This window comes from Homo sapiens, chromosome 11, assembly GCF_000001405.40.
Source record: "Homo sapiens chromosome 11, GRCh38.p14 Primary Assembly".
In the NCBI taxonomy this organism is placed as follows: Eukaryota; Metazoa; Chordata; class Mammalia; order Primates; family Hominidae; genus Homo; species Homo sapiens.
The window spans coordinates 37469804-37492189 of NC_000011.10; the positions used below are offsets into that span (position 1 = coordinate 37469804).

The 22386-nt window shown below is 34.6% G+C and overlaps 1 long non-coding RNA gene across 1 annotated transcript; it reads right to left on the reverse strand.

The window, feature by feature from the left end:
- Positions 1 to 1982: 1982 nt before the first annotated feature.
- Positions 1983 to 19256, reverse strand: LOC105376632 (uncharacterized). The gene is made up of 4 exons (XR_931200.3): positions 19097 to 19256; positions 8519 to 8565; positions 2656 to 2741; positions 1983 to 2275 (listed from the first exon to the last, which is right to left on the reverse strand). It is a non-coding gene; the product is annotated as an uncharacterized LOC105376632 (long non-coding RNA).
- Between the last annotated feature and the right edge of the window lie 3130 nt (positions 19257 to 22386).

A 22386-nucleotide genomic window follows, 5' to 3' on the forward strand; every position in this document is an offset into this window, starting at 1 on the left:
TTCTCCTCAAATATTGCTTTTCTTCATTGTCTTTTTCTTCTCTTCAAGGTCTCTAGTTACAAGTATGTTATCATTTCCCCATCTTGTCCTACATATTCTTAAGCTCTTTTATACATTTTTCAACTCCCATCTTTTCTAGATTTTACTCTCTCTCCACTATTTTACACTTTATACTGTCAACTATTTCACTAATTTCTCCAATTCAGTTATCTGCTTTTATAAGATATATCCTCACAATTTATGTCCAGCATCATCTTAAGTATATTTCAATAATAATTTTAAAGTGATTATTACAAAGCATTCAAAGAAAACATTTTTTTGCCTCCTATAGCTGGGAGTGCTGGCGCATATCTGCAGTCCCAGCCACTTAGGAGGGTGATGCAGGAGGATCACTTGAGTCCAGGGATTTAAGGACAGCCTGAACAATGCGGTGAAACTGTCTCTGAAATAAAATAGTTGTGTTAGTCTGTTTTCAAACTGCTATAAAGAACTACCAGAACTGGGTAATTTTAAGAAGAAAAGAGGTTTAATTGACTCACAATTCTACATGGGTGGGGAGGCCTCAGGAAACTTAATGATCATGGCGGAAAGTGAAGTGGAAGCAAAGCACGTCTTACATGATGGCAGGAGAGAGAAAGGGGGAAGTGACACACTTTGAAACCATCAGATAACATGAGAACTCACTCACTTTCACGAGAACAGCATGAGTGAAACCGCCTCCGTGATCCAATTACCTCCCATCAGGCCCCTCCCTCGACATGTGGGATTACATTTCAAGATGAGATTCGGGTGAGGACACAGAGCCAAATTATATCATTAATATAGATAAATAAAATAATAGCCTCCTCTGTTTGCTATTTCTGTGTAATCATTTTACCCAAAATTTAGTGTCTTAAGACAACACTAATTTTACGGGCAACAAAAGTAAAAACATATAAATTGGACTATACAGAGCAAAACTGAAAACTTTGCACATCAATGGATACAATTAACAGAGTGAAAGACACCTGTGGAATAAGAGAAAATATTTTCAAATTATAGATCTGATAAGGAAGTAATAACAAGAATACATTTAAAAAAACTCTTACAACACAACAGCAGCAACAACAACAAAACCTGAATAACAAATGGACAAAAAAACTTGAAAAGACATTTCTCTAAAGAGGATATATAAATAGCCAACAGACATTTGAAAAGATGCTTAACGTCACAAATCATCAGAGAAAAGCAAATCAAAACCATAATGAGATATCACCTTATACCCAGCAGGATGGATCTTATCAAGAAAACAAAAATTAACAGGTGTTGATGAGGAAGTACATTAACTGAATCCTTGTTCACTGTTGGTGGAAATTTAAAATGGTGTAGCTTCTATGGAAAACAGTACGGCAGTTCCTTAAAAAATTAAAAAAAAATAATTACCATATGATCCGACAATTTCTTTTCTGGGTTTATATCTCAAAGATTGAAGGCAGGGTCTCAAAAAATATCTGTATACTTATGTTCATGGCAATACTGTTCACAATAACCCAAAGGTGGAAGCAACCCAAATGTTCATTGGCAAAGGAAGGGGTAAGGAAAATGTGGTATACACAGTCAATAATGTATTATTCAGCGTTCACATGGAAGTGAATTCTGACACATAGTACAACATGGAGAACCTTGAGGACATTATGCTAAGTCAAACGAATCAGTCGCAAAAAGGCAAGTAGTTTCTGATTCCACTTACATGACCTATCTAGATTAGTAAAACTCACAGAAGCAGAAAGTATAAGGGTGGTTTCCAGAGAAGGGAGAGCTGAGTGCTGTTGTTTAATGGGTATGAAGTTTCAATTTTGCAATATGAAAAGGTTCTGGAGATTGGTTAGACAACAATGTGAATATAATTAACACTGCTGAACCATGCACTTAAAAATGGTTAATATGATAAATTTTATGTTATGCATATTTTACTACAATTACAAATTAAACACACACACACATACATACATACCTTTATTATCCCACACAGTGGTTGACGGTCAAGAATGCAGAAGCAGCTTAACTGAATGATTATGGCTTTGAGTCTCAAGAGTTTGCAGTCATGCTATAAGCTCAGACTTCAGTCATCCATAGGCTTGACTGGCGATGGAAAATCCATTTCAAAATGACTCACTCATGTGACTGTTGACAGGATACCTCAATTTCTCACTGACTATTGGTAGAAGGACTCAGTTTCTCACTACTTGATCTTTTCACAGGGCTGCGTGTACTCATGGCTTGGCACTGAATTCCTCTAGAACAAGAGAGTCGAGAGTGAGACAGAAGCTACAATGAAATTATAACACATCCTGGGAAGTGATCTAATATCACTGCTGTTGTGTTCTATTGTTCTAACACACCAACCCTCATATATTATGGGAGACGACTACACAGGGGTGAGAATACAAGGAGATGAGGATCCTTAGAATTCATCCTGGAGATCGGTTTCTATACCATCAAAAGCTCATTTTTATTTCTTTTTGTTATGAAATAATATATTGTGCTAATCCATTCATCAAAAATATTTATAAAATACAAAGAGCATGTTTGTTATGATTAGAAAGAAACCAAGGAAATCAAGACTTGAGGGGCCAGAATATCTGAAAGAATGGGAATGCTTGAGATGAAACCTACCTTTAATTGCTTTCTTCCTCAGAGTAGTTGCTGATCTGTGGTACTGAATTAGAGGACAAGAGAAAAGCAGTGACAGTTTTCCTGAGCTGAGGGAAAGAAAATTGAAGTTCAGGGTTATATGCTACACCAAGGGCCAATGTATGTTCTTTATTATAATCCCAAACATTGGAGCAGAGAGTAAGATTGTGGATGATGTCTTCAGTTACATATACCTTGTTATCAGGACTACATCACTTCTTTTCTTCCGGCATGTGATGAATATTGTTTGCATAAATTTTTGCAGTAGACTGGAAATGATTCTGAGGTTAGAAGGTGGAAGCTTATTAGTTGTAAAGGAAGGCAAAGTCCACATACTAACAATGATCCTCTTTCATTGTGGTGTTGGCCTTATTTTATGTATTATACTTCATTGGAGGCCTCAAATAGGTGAAATTGATACATGGAAGACTAAGGTAGCTCTGGTCCATACACCTTTTTTTTGTCTAAAATAAGTACAATTTTGGGCTATTTCATCAGGGCAACAGAAGTACATGGGTTTTCAGTAAATTTGAAGGTATATTTGATATGTTACTATTTATATTTTACATAGAATAATTGATGTAAAATTCACTTTAGAGGATCCTGATGTTACTCCAAAGAGACAGCTGGTTATATTTATAAAGCTATATACACAGTTATAAAAATTTACATAAAATATTTTAATAAATGTATAGCTGGTATGTATATTATTGTTTTTTATATATATCTTTATTTTAAATTTATTTTTGTTGTTTACTTACCATAAGCAGGCACTGTCAGCACTTTGTAGATATTACATCATTTATTCTCCAGAAAAATTCCTGTGTGCTAAATATATCACTCAAAGTGAGGCTTAACTACTAGGATGTATGAACAAAATATAGAAGTGTATCTCTCTCAAATGTACTAGGACTGGGTAAGTATATCAGATCAGCAGGTATTTTCCTTCCCCACAGCCATGCAGATACTGGATGCCTTCCATGTTCCCTACTCTATTTCCTAAGTTATTGTACCCATTTACATTGAAAAGTAGCTGCGTGAAAGTCCAGGTTTTTAGCTAGCTCAAAGGAAAGACACATACTGCAAAGAGAACATAGAGAGAGAATACTCAAAATTTTAAAGATTTTGGCATGGAAATGGCTCAGATCACTTTAACTCATATCCCAATGGGGAGAGCATAGTCAAATGATAATATCTAAATGCAAGGGAACCTGGGATTGCAGCCCAGAAACTTGTGAAAAACTAGCAATGTCTCCTAAATTAGGTGTGGCAGAGATGCTAGTTGTGTCCCAAAATATTCTTCTTTTTTGCTGTGGTAATAGGATCCTGATTTTTTTTTTTAAGAGCAGGAGTGGAAGTTTATTTAAAAGGGCTTTAGAACAGGAAGGAAAGGAAAATTTCCTTGGAAGAGACCCAAGCAGGTGCCTGAAGGTCCCACAGAGAGGGAAAGACAGCTGAAAATAAGGCAGATCTTGACTTTTTGAGTGGGTCTAAGTCCATCCAGAATGGACACCATATTTTCCAGCCTCCTGTGCAGCTAGGTACAGCCATGTAACTAGTGCTGGCCAATGAGACATGTTCTTTGTGACATATCACATATCATCTGTGTACCCTTTACCACTCCCTCTTTTTTCCTTCCTTTCTTCTTTCTTGCCTCTACATCAAAATTCTGCTTTCCTTAACTATGAAGTAAAGGCCACAAATGATAGAACAAGAAGATAAAAGGACTCTGATCCCTTGATGCATTAACCACCATATCAGTCCTCTTCCACTTGTTCAGTTTTGTTTTAGAAAAAGTATAAACGTCAATCTTGCTTAAGCCTCTGTTACTTTTGGGGTTTCTGTCACCAGCAGCTAAATATAATCCTAACCGATATAATTGGTATTACACTTCTTATGTAAATGACAGACTTAGGTCCAGAGAGGTAAATGATCTCAATTTAGGATATATAAACCCAAGAGAGTGTTGCTCCAAATTCCATGCCTTTCCCCGCTGATCTATTCAGGCAAGATGCAAATAAAAACAAGTAAAAATCTCTTTTGGTAACAATGGGAATATATGCATGGCTCTTGGTGGGAGAATTTAAACAAATTGTTTACTCAAGTCACTGTATGCTGAAACAATTTATGACATTCTATTATGGCAGTGCTAGCTTTCCCGTCCTTAGCAAATCTCATCCAGCTAGCTCAAAGGAAGAGATAAAGAAGAAAGTTAGATCTTTTGAGCTAAATGAAACAGCAGATAAAAGCAAACAGGGAAATGCCATCAGTTTAGAAAATAAACAACGTATTTATCCTAGTCTGTGCCTTGAATGCCTTAGGAGGGAAGTATACAAATTGAGTGTCTTCCCCCTCTATTTTCTTTGTTGACAATAGATGTTGTGAACATTAAATCTGTCAGAGTGCTTGTGGGGAGATAGGTCAGCTGATCCTTTCCAATGACTGACATCCTTGAGTTTCAGAGAATTGACTAATTTAGAGATGATCCAGTCTTTTGACCTTCAGGCTGTCATAGAGACAGTCATAGAGTTTGCAGAGGTTACAAGTTGCTGACTGAGTCTGATTTTTTTTCCCCCTTAAGAACTGGAGTTGTGCAATAGATAATGGGGGAAAAATGAAAGTTTAAGCTGCAGTAAAAGACTTTTCTCCTAATAATAACATTAATATTCCTAATGTGTTCTGAAATGCACATTAGGTATGTAGTTACCATTGTGCTGTGTTATAAAATACTCTCTGTTAGAAAATAAAAAGATACTATGACAGGAATTCACTTCGGGAGTGTAGAAAAAGCATAGAAAGATGAAGATATGCGTTCCAGATCCAGTTCTGCTACTAAATCACCAGGTGTCCTTGGGGAAGGAAATCGTCTGAACTTTCTGAATCTCATTTTCCACATCTATAAAATAAGAGCTAAACAACTTTTCAGGGGTCTTTCAACTGTAAAATTAAAAGGAGGAAAATCTGGGATTCTATTATCTCAATTTTAATATGAACTCTTTATTGTGCTAATTTCTGAGAGCAGGAATAACTCTCAATAGAACTACTTTTATCAGTATTTTACCATATGGAGTTGTTTTTGTTTGAGGGGACATGATTTTACACTCATTTTTCTCAATTTCTATAACACCAAGCTAAGTAATAATGACCAGAATGGATTATCATAATATCTGCTAAAAGAAGTTTTCTGTATTTTTTAAGAAATTGAAAATTATTTATTAGGTAGGTAATAATCATAAATAATAATTGTTACATTTAATATCATATTATAATAATTATTTAAAATTAATAAGTAATAACTAAATTACTTATTTGTAATCATTTGCTTAAACCTTGGCTATCATATAATTCTGTGTAAACACTAGGAATAATTAGAGATAGTGTATAATTTTTAAAATGCTTGTGTTTAAGCATGCATTTGTAACTTTTCTCTATTGTAATTTTGTTGTAAATGATTACTATTATTTAGAATCTAAATCATGTTGATAAAAGAAGCAAAATAGCAGCATTGTAATATATAGGACACCTACAGTTTCTAGGAATGCACTTTCATTTCGTGACTGTTCTTCTTTCTGATTCTGTAAACAAAGAGGGGAAATAGAAACATTCTCCAAATCTCCCAGGGCCCTGTGACCATGAAGTTTAGTTTATTAATCTCTATCTTTCTCTTTTTCTCTCTCTGTACTATATATGTAGTTTATTCTACATGTATAAAATTATTGAGAATAATTTCACCAAAACAAATGTTTCCATCACTCAGATTGCAGATATTTGTTTTCTTTTTTATTCTACATTTTAGGTCTCTTTTCATGTTATCTGTCAGAATCTTACTGATAAAGCTGAAGCCTCCTTTAACTCCTTATGTATCTAATTCCCTTCCCTATCTCCTGAACATAAATCCTATCCTAAAAATGTTACAAATTCCTCACACTTACAAACGATATATACACTAGCTCTTTATTTTTTTTCATTAACATTGTCTGTCTGGATATATCCTTCTAATTATTATTGTCTAATGGTAGAGGCTAAGGATTTTGCTGAACATCCCATACACCACAGGACAGCCTCCAAAACAAGGAATTATTAGTGTCAAAATACCCGTAAATACTGCTAAGGTTGAGAAACCCCTATTTCCCAAAGTAAATATTTTAATTTTATCTTATTAATTTAATTGAAATCCTAAGTATGTATTGCTAGAGAGAGAAAAGCAGACACTTCACATTGACTTACTTCCTCCAAGTGGAGAAACACAGTACCTCTAACTTGTGAAAGAAAAAAAACTATATGAAAGCATTATTGACGAATGCCTCTCCATATATATTGTAGAGAACATCCTAATCATTGAAGTATAAAAAAATTTCCACTCTCTTGCTTTTAGCAAGAAAAATTGGCATTTCATATTTAACTTGTTATAAGTATCCATTTAAACTTAACAATCAAACTGTGTCAATCACTCAACCACTAGAAATAAAATAGGTCCTTCTTAATACTGTGCTTTTTTTCCACATTGTAACGTGGATGTATAAGAAACTAGACACTAATTTAGAAAAAAAAAAAACTTGTTAGTTTAACTACTCAAACACTTTATTGATTGATTGATTGATTGATTGATACGGAGTCTTGCTCTGCTGCCCAGGCAGGAGTGCAGTAGCGTGATCTCCGCTCACTGCAAGCTCCGCCTCCCGGGTTCACACCATTCTCCTGCGTCAGCTTCCCCAGTAGCTGGGATACAGGCGCCCGCCATCACACTCAGCTAATTTTTTTGTATTTTAATAGAGACTGGGTTTCACCATGTTGGCCAGGATGGTCTCGATTTCCTGACCACGTGATCTGCCCGCCTCGGCCTCCCAAAGTGCTGGGATTACGGGTGTGAGCCACCGCGCACGGGGCCTCAAACACATTTAAATTTACCAAGTTTATGTGTACGATTCAATGATTTTTAGTAAATTTACTAAGTTGTGCAATCATCAGCATAATCTAGTTTTAGAATAGTTCCATCATCCCAGTAAGATCACTCATATTTATTGGCAATTATTCCCTATGCCCTCTGCCTGTCAGCCCCAGACAACTGCTTAGCCTACTTTCTGTCCCTATGGATTTACAATTTTTTAGACATTCGTCATAAGTGACACCATACAATATGTAGTCTTCGTGTCTGGCATCTTTTTCGAATACATTTTACATATTTTTCACAGGGAACTGCAGAAATCTGCTTTTATGATTTTGGTACAAGTTTTTGGTAGAAGACATTAAGTTTTAGGGTGGGGCTTTTAACTGTGAAGGTTTAATATACTGAGCTGGAATGGAGATCACTGAATAATAACTACAAGCTACACGTTGAAATTATTTGAGAGCATGTTCTCATTTTGTAGATATGTTTTCTAGAAAACTTTTTATTTTCTATTGTTTTTATGTTTTCATTATTGTCTTGTTAAAAGTGTTATGCAACCTAAACTCATTCAATGCCCAAGTTGAATACTCATAATAAGATATGAGTATGTCTTACGCCTTGGCTGTTAAGCAAAGAAGCATATTTTCAATACACTCACATTTTTTTCAGTATATTTCAAAACATTCATTTATTGTGAGGACATCTCAAAATATTAATCCTTTCTAAAGTCATACAGAGGGGAAAACATGAAGGAATATACCTCTTCCTAGAAATAACATCACGTACAGATGTTAGAATACTCTGGTGTTGGACAAAGTATATATTATTTATATTTGTTTTGTTTCAAGTTTAGTTTAGCATGATTATTACTGCCATTTTTCCTAGATTAAAATAAATATCGCATCACCAAAACAAAGTTGAAATACACCAAAACATAAAGAATATATACAATCTTACGTAGCATAAGAGATCCTCTTCTCTTTTGCAAAAATATTTTCAGGCATCTGAAAAGAAAACGTCAAAGATGGTCACCCTTGAAGGAAGTTGAGTTTTAAAATCTGTTGTAAAAATCTTCCTATTTTAACTTATTCTTAAGACAAAAACCATATAATTTTGTTCTGCTATTGAGCATACTAATTCATAGAGAATTTCAAGAATTTTTTTAAATGGAGACATTGTATAGTATTGGACTAATACATTTTTACTGATCCTTTTTGTTTTCTTAATTAATTTATAATTTATATGCAACAAGATGTAGAGATATTAAGTGATAAGTTTAATGAGCTGAGGCAATTGCTTATACAGCTGTAATCCACATAGAAACCAACATCCACAAGAATCTCAGCACCCCAGAAAGTTCTCCCATGTCCCCTTTTTTGCTCCCTTCTCCTCTACCCAAAAGGCAACTAATCTTTGATGTCAATAACCATAGATGAGTTTTTCTTGTTTTGGAACTTCATACAAATGAAACAATACAGTATTTACTCCTTTATCACAGGTTACTTTCACTCTATATAATTAAATGTTTCTCAAATTTTATGTAATTTGTGTATTTATATATACATTCATATACAGTTTTTGCTATTTTGATTCTTTATATTAAGTAGTATAAACACATAAAAATTTGTTTATTGATTATTAGTTGGTGGGCATTTGGGTTATTTCAAGGCATAGTTATTATGAATAAAGTTATGATGAATATTTTTGTATATGTCTGTGGATATCTATTTTCAATCCTCTTAGATAAATACCAAGGAGTGGAATTTGGGTCACAGTTCACAAAATGATTACAACAATGTAAACATCCATTGCCAATATATGAAAGTATCAGTTGCTATACATCCTGTCAATATTTAAAACTGGTACTGTTTTTTAAATTTTAGCCATCCATATGAGTATGAAATACGACCTAATTGAGGACTAAATTATTACTTCTCTAATGAAAAAATATGTTTTCTGTTGTAGACAGTCCAACCAGTCAAAACCATTGCCCTCTTTCCCTTTTCAAAAATGTTTTGTCCTTTTTATTGTTGACTTTTAAGGGGCTTTTAAATGTAGAAATATGTATTTTTTCCAGTGTGTGGTTTTCCTGTTCATTTTGTTAAATACATGTCATGACAAAATTTTTCAATTTTGTTGAAACCCAGTTTGTCATTTTTTGCTTTCATGATTACTGCTTTTTTCTGACTTATCTAAGCAAGTTTTGTCTCAATCAAGAATTAATGATATTCTTCTATATTTTCTTTCAAATGCTTTACACTTTTGTTTTACATTGAGGTCTATCATTCATCACAAACTAATTTTTATGTATAAAATGAGATAAGGCTGAAGGTTTATTTTTCCCTAATTTTCAAATCCAACTATTCCATCTCCATTTATTTTTTTGCGAAGCCTTCCTGATATTTTCCATAATTACATCCCCTCCAATAATGGAGTAGAAGGGCTTTCACCAGCCTCCATAACATTTAGAGAGCCTTCTCTGAATGCTGTTTCCACAATATATCACCAAAGAATAATTTAATGAAGTTGTAGCATTTTCTGTAATTGATATATGTTAAAGTGATTAAGCACTACTAACCTCTAACCAGATTTTTCAAGGAGTAGCATATTGGGTTATTATATATAAAGGAGTCATGTATTTCTGTGGCATAATTTCTGTTTCACGTAATTAAAAAATCAATTATGTTGACCTCATACCTTATCATTCTCTAACATTCTTTTTGCCTATACCTATTTCTAGTAACAATCTTGAAAGAGTTATGTGCCCTTTGTCTTTATTATCAGTTATCCCATTCTAAATATGTTTCATACCCAGCACTCTACAATGCATACTTTTCACTTACCTGTATGTGGCCAAACCACTGATCACATTAATTTCCTTATTTTTTTGACCTTTCTGAAGCACTCAAAATAGATGACCTTTTTTTTCCCCCCATTAAAAACATGAGATTCAGAGATGGAAGTTATAGTTTAGGAAGATGAAAAAAAAAGACAAAACTGGGTTAAAACCAACAGTATGAACAAGGAAGATGCATTAGCATATCTCTCTTTAGCCTCCCCACACTGGGACAGTTGGTCCAAAGGAAATGTGCACAGCTCAAGCGGTGGATATGGAACTTGAGCTGACTGCAGAGGAATTAGGGAAAACCAACATTTTAGTTCGTGCAAGGTGATAAATGAAATGTTCTGAAAACTGGTTGAAGATATAAGGCAAGTTTAAGATGACAGATACAGCATATCAACTGAAATAATTCTGGTAAGTCATCTAAAATTTTGTGCTTTTATTTCTCATTCTACAAAATGAAGATAATAATCACTTACTTTTTTCCTCATGGATTTATTTTGTGGGGAGGGCCCTTGAGCTAATGGATATGAAGGTATTTTGTAAATTTTTTAGCAGTATACAATTATAGGTGTTAATACTAACTTATTAGTGTAATTTAATTAACATGCTACAGATATGATTTCTAGATTTTCAAATTTTATAAGCCAGAATGTATGCATGTATGTTTGTATGTGTGTGTATTAATTTGCTACTGACATACATTCATTAAGTTATTATTTTTCAGGTTAAAAAGATTTACTTATGATCTCTAAAATTTTTTGAAAAGTAAAAATTGTGAAAAGGACATGAAGGACAGTCTTAAAACTGAATACATTTAGTTTTATAAAAAACTCCTTACATTTTCATATTTTTCCCCATTCTTCTCCGACGAGTGAAGTCTTCATTATGGAGCATGAGATGAAAAATCAATGTTTAGAAACTACTGATTTAGAAGCTGCCTTTCAGAGGTATAAAATTTTTATTGCTTCAGGTAATAAAATCACAGAAGATGTTTTGTAAATTCAGAAAACACTGAAAAGTATCTTAGTCATGACCTCTTGAATGCCATACACACTAAAAGTTGAATGCAGCCCTGCTATAAAATTATGACTTTGAATACTGGTTTGTTTGGTCAATTGAAATACTGTGAAAATATTCCTAGTATCAAAACATATACTTCTGCTTCTATAGCAAATAAAATAAAAGAAAAATCTGCTAAGATTTATTAGGCTGGTGCAAAAGTAATTGCAGTTTTTTTTTGCCATTTTTTTAATGGCAAGAAACACAATTACTTTTGCGTCAGCCTAATACATTTGGCTGTGTACCTGACTTGTCCAGTAAATTATGAGCTTTTGGGAAAACAGGACCATAGCAATTAGGACATTGCTTTTTTATTTTGTAAATACATATTAGCTCTGATAAGTGTTATGAGTCCAACATAACATTTAGGATCAAGTATAGATAATTTAAAACGGTATGGTAAGCTGAATAATGGGCCCCCAAATATATCCACATAATAATCTCTGGAATTTGGGAATGTTACCCTGTGTGGTACAAGGGACTTAGCAGATTTGATTAAATTAAGGATATTGAGATGAAGAGATGCTCCCAGATTTTAGAGGTGGGCCCAATGTAATCACAATGATCCTCACAGAAAAATGCAGGAGAAGTCAGAGGAGAAGGCAATGTTATGATGGAAGCCATAATTGGAATGATGCAATTTGAAGATGGAGGAAGACGTCAGGAACCAAAGGATACAGGTGACCATTAGAAATAGGCAAGAAGGCCGAGCGCGGTGGTTCACGGTGGTTCACGCCTGTAATCCCAGCACTTTGGGAGGCGGAGGCGGGTGGATCATGAGGTCAGGAGATCAAGACCATCCTGATCAACATGGTGAAACCCCGTCTCTACTAAAATAACAAAAATGAGCCTGGCGTGGTGGTGTGTGCCTGTAGTCCCAGGTGCTCAGGAGGCTGAGGCAGGAGAATCGCTTGAACCCAGGAGGCGGAGGTTGCAGTGAGCACAACTGCACTCCAGCCTGTGTGACAGAGCAAGACTCTATCTCAAAAAAAAAAAAAAAAAAAAAAAAAAAAAGAAAGAAAGAAAAGAAATAAGCAAGAAAAATGAGTTTTCTCTGCAAAGCCTCAAAAGGAATCCCTGTCAACTCCATGACTTTGGCCCAATGAAAATAACTGTAGACCTCTGACCTCCACAACCATAAGAGGATATTTTGTGTTGTTTTACATCACTATGTTGTGACAGTTTATTATTGTAGCAATAGGAAACTAGGACAAGTAGTAAGTAGTATTCAACCTCTTTTAAAATTAAAGCCTAGGCTACTTGCAAATGAAGACACAATTGGAATCTGTGGCATTCTTCTGTACACACCAAGCATTACAGAACATTTAAAAGCCAGCTTCTACTACAGGGCTATAGCTCAGGGATTAATAAGGAATGCTTTTCTATTCACCTTCTTGGTTTATTATTATTTTCAATTTCCTGGAAGACGTTGTATCCTATTAAAGGTTTAAATGTATAAGATATGTTTAAATGCACCAAATAGGTTTATAATAGAAAGTTCTTACAATCAGACTGCGATGATCTGAATGTCTATGTCCTCCGAAAATTCATATGTTGAAAGCCTACCTTCCAAAGTTATGGTATTATGTGGAGCCTTTGGTAGGTGAATACTTCACGAGGTCAGAGATGATGTGAGTGAGAATGGAGCCCAAGAAAAAAAACAGACCAAGAAAAAGACCCCTTGCCCTTTCCACACTGTGAGGTTACAGTGAAAAGATGGCCTACCAGGAAGTGGACTATCACCAGATACCAAATTTGCTTGAACTTCCCAGCCTCCATAACTGTGACACAAATTTCTGTTGTTTAGAAGCCACCCAGTTTATGGTATTTTGTTATAGCATCATGAAACGGCAAAGACTAAAAATGGAAAGCCCAATAGAATGAAAAGGTGGAGGAAAGGCAATTTTTTTTTCTCCGTGTTTAAGCTGGGACATCCATCTTCTCCTGACCTTGGATATCAGTGCTCTACCAGGCTGAGACTTACACCATGGCCCATCCCTTGCTCTCATGCCCCACCTTTCAATCCCCCTTCTCGGACCTTCAGACATTGGCTTTCCTGGTTCTCCAGCTTGCAAAACTAGCTTGCAATCACAATGCAATTAAGTGCATTGTTTTCAAGAGAAAGAAACTTTGTATTAGTAGGTCAAAGAAAATTTGGCTGGGCATGGTGGCTCATGCCTGTAATCTCAGCACTTTGGGAGTCTGAGGCAGGTAACCTGACAAATATAGTGAAACCTCATCTCTACTAAAAATACAAAAATTAGCCAGGTGTGGTGGCATGCACCTGTAGTCCCAGCTACTCAGGAGGCCGAGACAGGAGAATTGCTTGAACCCAGGAGGCAGAGGTTACAGTGAGCCGAGATCATGCCGCTTCACTGCAGCCTGGGTGACAGAGTGAGACTCTGTCTCAAAAAAGAAAAAAAAAAAGAAAGAAAGAAAATTAATTGGAAGGATATGATGTGGCTCACAAGGTTTAAATAAAATACTAAAGTGCTATCTTTGGGTAGACCAGGTCAAACCAGGTGCATAAGCTAAATGTTTATCTCTTTAGGAGATAAGTCAGCTCTGGGGTATTTAAAACAAAAGCAATGATATTTCTCATTAAATTTGACATTCAGGTTTCTAAACTCAAGAGTAATACAGAGAGCATAATTTAACTAGCTTGAGCCATATGCTTTCTCTTCAGTTAGCAGAAAGCTGGATACTTTGATTGATGGACCCAGGAAACGCAAAGCACAGTGATGGAGGAGTAATTCTTCAAACAGAACTGGAAAGTGTTCTTACTAGAAGAAAATGAGAATGAATGCTCAGCAGTCAAGAAAAGTAAGTCCATAAATAAATAAACACACATGCATGCATACAAAATACTATTGTCAGTGCTATGGCAACCTCCCCTCTTTCTTAAGAGTGATCAGTTACACAATTATACACTTATATTTTATAGATATCAGTTCATAGTTCTTCAGCATAGGGCCAGGTAGCACGTAAGAAATGGCATACGTTATAAATAGTTGCTAATAATTAAGCAATGAACATAAGGGTAGTGGCTGTTCATGACCTCAATAACTACACACAGTCTCCATTTTAACTGTTGTGCCTCAGTGCACATGTAATAGATAATCTTGATTATAATCTCCATTTTTATGGCAATTAATTTTGGACAGCCATGATTCACTTTGGAGGAATATGTTTATTAAGGCATTAATACATCCTGGCATTAGAGTGATGCCCCAGGAATGTTGGGAGAGCAACATTTTATACTGGGAAAACATACACCAGAGCAGGTAAACCAAAGCCTGAGTAATCATGATGTTAACCTTTAATGGATGTAAATCACTTACAGAAGACATTAAGGAGTAAAAACAAACAAAAAATAATGACAGTTACAGTGGCCTAATTTACCCACACATATAAAAGGGTAGAAACTTGAACAAAGTTTGTAAATCCTTAAAAGATTAAACAAAGTGGTGGCCACTATTTTTAAGGCATGAAGAGTGAGGTCACAATACCCTGACAGATTAAGTAAAATTAAAGCTAACACTGTGGTATAGCGACTACTTACATACCATTTCACTTTATTAAGGATTGTAATTAATCTAGACAGTCTCAGTGTTTACAAAAGGTTTCTGACCTTGTCATTGTCCAATCAAAGCAAGTAAAGCGGACAAAACCAAAAGCTGTCTTTGAAATCAGTTTGGAAATATCTCTTATACAGATCATGCTGATTACCAAAAAGAAACACACTAATAACAATACAGGCAGTGATAGGGTTTGGCTGTGTCCCCACCAAAATCTCAACTTTAATTGTATCTCCCAGAATTCCCATGTGTTGTGGGAATGACCCAGGGGGAGATAATTGAATCACAGGGGCCGGTCTTTCCGGTACTATTCTTGCGATAGTGAATAAGTCTCACAAGATCTGATGGATATATCAGGGGTTTCCACTTTTGCTACTTCTTCATCTGCTCTTGCTGCAGCCATGTAAGAAGTGCCTTTCTCCTCCTGCCATGATTCTGAGGCCTCCCCAGCCATGTGGAACTGTAAGTCCAATTAAACCTCTTTTTCTTCCCAGTCTCAGGTATGTCTTTATCAGCAGTGTGAAATGGACTAATACAGGCAGTAATTGAGACAGGTAATATTTTTGTCTATCTTTCATGCAACATAATAATTTAGCATTTGTAATTAACAACAGACAAAATACTCTTTTCTATAATGGGGTAAATAGATCCTGTTTTACATGAGAGAAAATTAAATGATCTGAACTTTATAACCTGTTTAGATATTTTCTGTTCAAAAATATCCTCTAGATTAGGAATAATTTAAATACATATTGTATAAATTAAGAATGATAACGCAGGTAATATTCAGTCATATTTGGAATTATGGCACTTTTATATGCAGGGGAGATTAAAGCTAAGAGACCAGAAAGTACAGAATGGGAATGATTTTAGTCTGGAAGAAATTTGCTCTATGTCAGATTTTATATCAATGAAATAAATAATCTCCTGTTCTGTTCAAGCCATACACATGCATACACACACACAGACACAACTGTGTAACAAATCTAGAACAGGTCACAAAAGAGCTGAAACCCACTGCAGAAATCAATATTAAAGCTTGTTGAGTCCTTTGTCCTTTAATCAGAGGTCTGAATTCTTGTTCTGAGAAATAAGCATGTACATTTAGCTTTCAGAACTTCTTTTTCAGTATATTGTGTCTATGTACATGTATATTTTTCCATGTAAACACTTTAAAAATATTAATTTGTGTTCTATCTAGACTTACATCCAATCTATATATAGTCATCCCTCAGTATTCATGTTTGGGGGATTGGTTCTAGGAACTCCCAAACCCTACAGATACCCAAATCTGTGGGTGCTCAAGTCCCTTATGTAATATTGTATTTGCATAAAACCTATGCATATTCTCCCATATACTTTAAATGATTTCTAGATTACTTTTAATGCTGAATGCAATGTAAATGCTATGTAAGTAGTTGCTGTACTGTAGTGTTTAGGCAGAATGACCAAAAACAAATCTGTATATGTTTAGTACAGTTGCAACATCCTGTCCTAGGCCTAACTACACTTTCAATCTAAGGTTGGTTGAATCCACAAATGTAGAACTCATGAATTCAGAGGGCTGACTATATAAATTTACTAATTTATTTTTAGGTTCAAACCAAAAGTATTTGAGTGTCAGATATTATGTTAAGCAGACTGGAGACAAAAGAACACTGAAATGCAGTCTCCACTTCTCGGTGCTCGTGTGAAAATACAGTTAATGTACAGCACAAATATATCAAAACAAACATGTTGTTGGTCAGGAAATGAAGCATAGAGAATATGGAGCATTTTCTGAATCAAGGGTTGGCAAACTTTTACTATCTGCTACATAGCAAATATATATATACATATATATATTTAAAAAATACTTTAAGTTCTAGGGTACATGTGCACAATGTGCGGTTTTGTTACCTATGTATACATGTGCCATGTTGGTTTGCTGCACCCATTAACTCATCATTTACATTAGGTATTAGGAAAAATACCTGAAGTAAAAATATTTTAAGCTTTGTGGGCCATGCAGTTTTTGGTCACAACTATTCAACTCTGCTGTTGTAGTATGAAAATAGCCATGAACAATACTTAAATGAATAGGTATGGCTGTGTTCCAATCAAACTTTATTTAGGAATCTTTGTGGTGGATGGTGATGGTAAATTTGACCCACTGGCCATACTTGGCTGAATCTTTATCTAGATCATGAAAAACAAGATGGAACTAAACAGCTGTAGAAATACATAAATATTGTATCAGGCAGAAGGAACAGAATAGTCAAGCCACGAAGACTTGTGAGGTATCTGAGCAGGCTGAAAAATGATTTCAGTGACTATACCTGTGCTATATAGCTAGAGATAAATTAAGTGATCGCATATTTAATCAATACAGCAACTCTATTCTTACTGATGAGAAAGTCCATAATAATGTGGAGAAAATGGGATTCAAATATTCAAATACAAGTTTGACTTTAAAACCCTGCTTTTTGCACTGTACCTCGTTTCTTTAGTCTGAGAAACATATACTTGTTAAATACTGAATACTTGGTAATTACACGTCTCTACCTTTTATATGGAAATTACATTGAGTGGATCTAAAACTAATTAACATGTATGGTGAGCTCCCCTTGCCTAAAATGCTGAAGAATAAGAAATAAATAAATTTACTTATAATTGCATGGTTAGTACTATGTAATTAATCTGCCCTGAAACACCAGTTAATTATGAATTACAGGTTGCCAAACAGACTGAATTTGAAATAGATTCACTTTTTAATTTTCTTTTGCTCAGTGTTGTAGGGCCGATTCTGCTTTCATTTGCCCACCATTGGCTACAAGTGGAAATAACTCCATTTCCTTTAACACTTTCCCATTGTAATGCCACACAAACATATGTTCTTGTTGGACTCTCAATTAATTATGACAGAAACTGTGAAGCACCCTCTGTGCTTCTTCTGGAATTTTGAAATGCTATCAATCATTTTTGCCTGTTGCCTGGGGCAAACAGTGATGCTGTATTTAGGCTAAAAGATGGGAAAGTTATTAGACATCTGTGTTAAAAATAAATAGGCAAAATCACCATTGAGAGTTTTCAAATTGAAGTCACTGCAAACATACAAAATGGGATCAAGGAGTGACTTCTAAACATTTGTCATTCATACGCTTAAAGATTTCATAAAATCAATTAACCACATCAAAACTGAAATCTGGAGCTCGGCTATACTTCATTAGGTTTATTAACTGTGACGCCAACAGCTTAATATAAATTATTCTCCTATGAGTACCCAAGAAGAGAACTGAACACTTTTTAAAAAGATGAAAAAAAAAGATTGCATGGTTTTCAGTGTTATGATTATTAATGAGCCCACATATATTTGGTGCTGTTGAATCATCTCTAATTAGTTTGGATGTTACAATAAATACCATTGATCATTCCATCATGTAAAAGCCTTCTCTCTACATAGAATGATAGAACAAGAAGACCTACAAGATTAATTCATCCTCCACTTTCATTTTTCACAGAAGGAAACCGAAGAACACAGAGGGGGTCACATAGCTAGTTAAAAACAGAGACGATATTGCTAAATCTTAGTATTCTTTACACATTACCATATTTCCTTGCTTGTCTTTCTTTGGAAGGGTATTCTGAACTTGAATATGTACTGCTCTGGCAGGCCAGTTTGATTTCATAGCTCTGTCAATGTGTTTCTTAATTTTCTATTTTTTTAAAAAAAACAAATTAACCTACTTTAATTTATTCTTAATATATGATGTTCTGTCTTCTTCCCCCCAAAGATGGTGGCTAAGTCCCTGCTTTATCTGATCAAATTAGACATGGAATGGACATTGCACATGTGTATAGCATCAATATTCTAACCGTGATAAAAAGCAGTCATATCTAGATATTTCATTGGAAATTTAGTGTACTGCCTAAATCAAATACATACAATGATCTGTTATTCTTTGCCTGGTCAGCAGCCTCCAGTTTGCTGCTGAAATGAATTCACATTTTTAAAATTAATAAAATATTTTAGTCCACTTTTGCAGTAGTTTTTCTCCTTTTCCCCCCACTTACCAGCAACTACTCACTCTTCTTGTCTGACCTTTGTTTAAGTTGATTTCTCCATTTATATTCTTCTTAACTTTAATAGTAGTTATGCCAGTATGAATGAGGCACATTTAAGCCTGGATTTCAAATTTCAGCCACAGTGCTTGCTACTCAACCAGACATGCATTTGTTGGGGACTTGCTCTATGAAAGACAGATGAATTGTTTCAGGAGATTTACAACTTAGTAAAATGAATTATAAGAAGCAAGCAAATAACTGCAGCTTTCATCAGTCTTTTTTTTTTTTTTTTTTTTTTTTTTTTGAGACAGAGTCTCGCCCTGTTGCCCAAGCTGGAGTACAGTGGCGCGATCTCGGCTCACTGCAAGCTCTGCTTCCTGGGTTCATGCCATTCTCCTGCTTCAGCCTCCTGAGTAGCTGAGACTACAGGCGCCTACCACCACACCTGGCTAATTTTTTGTATTTTTAGTAGGGACGGGGTTTCACTGTGTTAGCCAGGATGGTCTCGATCTGCTGACCTCGTAATCCACCTGCCTTGGTCTCCCAAAGTGCTGGGCTTACAGGTGTGAGCATCAGTCTTCTTTCTTACAAAGATTATTGTCTTCAGCTGGGAGGAGCTGGAAGGTAACTTAATGACCATGCAAAAGAAAGAAGATTTTAGAATCTCTTATCTTTAATGCCGGTATCTTATGAGCAATTTGAAAACTGTCATTTCCCCCAGTAAATTTATTCTTATAATTTTTTTCTACTTTTAAACTATATGGTTTTTGAGAGTAAAAATAGAGTCCCATTTATTTTTCTGTTTTTTTTTTTAAATAATACTGTGGTAAAGAGTATTAATATTAGAGATCATAAATGTCTTGCTAAAGAGCTCAACATGATCAGGTATAATCAGAAACAATCTTAGTATTTTCCACCTCTTTCTTCAAATGTATCTTGTCAGATATTCTTTGCCATTTCCTGGAAAATAGATATAGTTGTTAGCTTTGTGGGACACAAGTCCCACAATTTTCAGGTTATTACTGTTTTATTTTCAATATTAAAATGAAGTTTCTATTCTCCTTGTGAATTTAAAGCTTTTTCCAGCCTCACCAGCTCACACCTGACCAGTAGTGAGGAATGTGAGATGGTCTGTTCTGCCTCCTTTTTCAAATTTCCTTTTACTCTGCTAGATCATCCAACCTGTCTCTCTCTCTGGCTCTCTATCTCTCTGTCACACACACACACACACACACACACACACACACACTTTATTTATTCTCCCAATCATGCTCCATATTGTTCCTCCCCACAACCCATTTAGTGCTCAGCCAGAGGTGATCTTTAACCACAATCACTTACATTCCTTCTAGCATCATTCTGAAGGCTATTTCTTATGGTTTCTGTTTAAGCCCTTGACATAGGCTCAAGCATTTCCCTCACTGATATATTTTGTTTCTTTCTCTACCTTCACGCATCTGAACTCTTAAATTCTTTCTTCTCTGTATTTTTAGCCCATTTCCATGTAAGTTCCAGAATGTGTAATATTTTTTTTAATAGGAGAAAATCTCATGGAATTGCAGACCCATCGCCATTCTTGTACAATGGTTGTTTCTAATCCTATCACCATAGCAATAGCATGGAAATCAGCAAAATTAAAATCAGGAACGAAAATTGAATGCCAGAAACATCACCATTCTAAGACTTCTACAACATATTGATGCATTTGATCTATAAATTTTGCTGATGAAAACAGACCAGAAACATGCATTTTTTAAAGTTGCACAATTCTGATTATAGATTTTATTACTGTCGTTATATATATGTGTGTATGTACATATATACACATATGTATATATATGTGTGCATGTATATGTATATATGTGTGCATGTATATATACATGTATATGTGTGTACATATATGTACATATATGTATGTCTATGTATATGTATATATGTATGTGTATATATACATGTATATATGGATATATATCATATGTATATATGTGCGCATAAAATACACATATGCATATGTATATGTGTGTATGTACATATATACATATATGTATATGTGTGTGTACATATATACATATATGCCTATATGTGTGTACATCTATATATACATATATGCATATATGTGTGTACATCTATACATACGTATATGTATGTGTGTATGTATATGTATATATGTATGTGTGTATATATGTGAATATATACATTCTGGAATTATGTGCATACAGTATTATACATTCTGGAAATTATATATATACAAGTATATATATGCACACACATATATACACATACATACACACATAAGTATATGTATGTATAGATGTACACATATATATATGTACACACACACGATGATACATATACATATATATTCCTGATATATATATATATGTGTGTGTCCTGATATATATATATATATGTGTGTGTGTGTCAGGAATATTGCTCTATAATGAGGAAAGATTGATTTTTACCAAGCACTTGGAAGAGTTCCCAAACACAAAGCTTGTGTTTGGGATGACTCTAAAAGACTTTCAAAATCATTGTCAGTCTTCTAAAACATTGATTATAGTTTCTTTTTAAAATAAGAGAATTGAATTGTTTGTTTTGAGAAAGTTCTCAAGGACAGGTTTTCAATATTGTCAATTCTTTTGCATCTAGCCTGCCATTCTGAAAACATCCACTGAGTACATACCAAGAGTTAGCCGTGGGGATACACAATCGAACAAACAAAAACTAAAGTTCCTGTCAATATGGAGCTTATTTTTCTGGTGAAGAATAAAGATGTTAAATAAGTAATTGCATGAAAATTTGGTTAGTGTTATGATCTGATGAGTACAGACTATTGTGGAAGCACTTTTTCGTTTACCATGTCTAGTAATTAAATACCATATAACAGTCAAATATAACAAATAAACAGATGCTATCTTCTTTAATCTGCCTGGAACACACTGGATGGTTCCTTTTTGACAGCTTTCAGCTGCAATATCAAATCTTCAGAAGAGATTTTCCCTTAAAAAATATCATCATCTAGTCCTTTCATTCCTCCACCATATTTTAATTGTCTGTATAGTTTTCTTGCTTTTTTATTTGCTTACTCATTATCTGTATTTCTGTCTGAGTGTTTACTACTTATTTCCAAAGTCTAGACCAGGATTAGGCACATAATAGTTATTCAATATTGGTAGATTAATTGAATAATAATGATATATAAATATATCCACTTGCATATGTCTTGTTAGTAATTTGTTAAAAAAATTGATTGATTCATTAATATGGTTTTCATAACCTTTAAAAAACTAGCTACCATT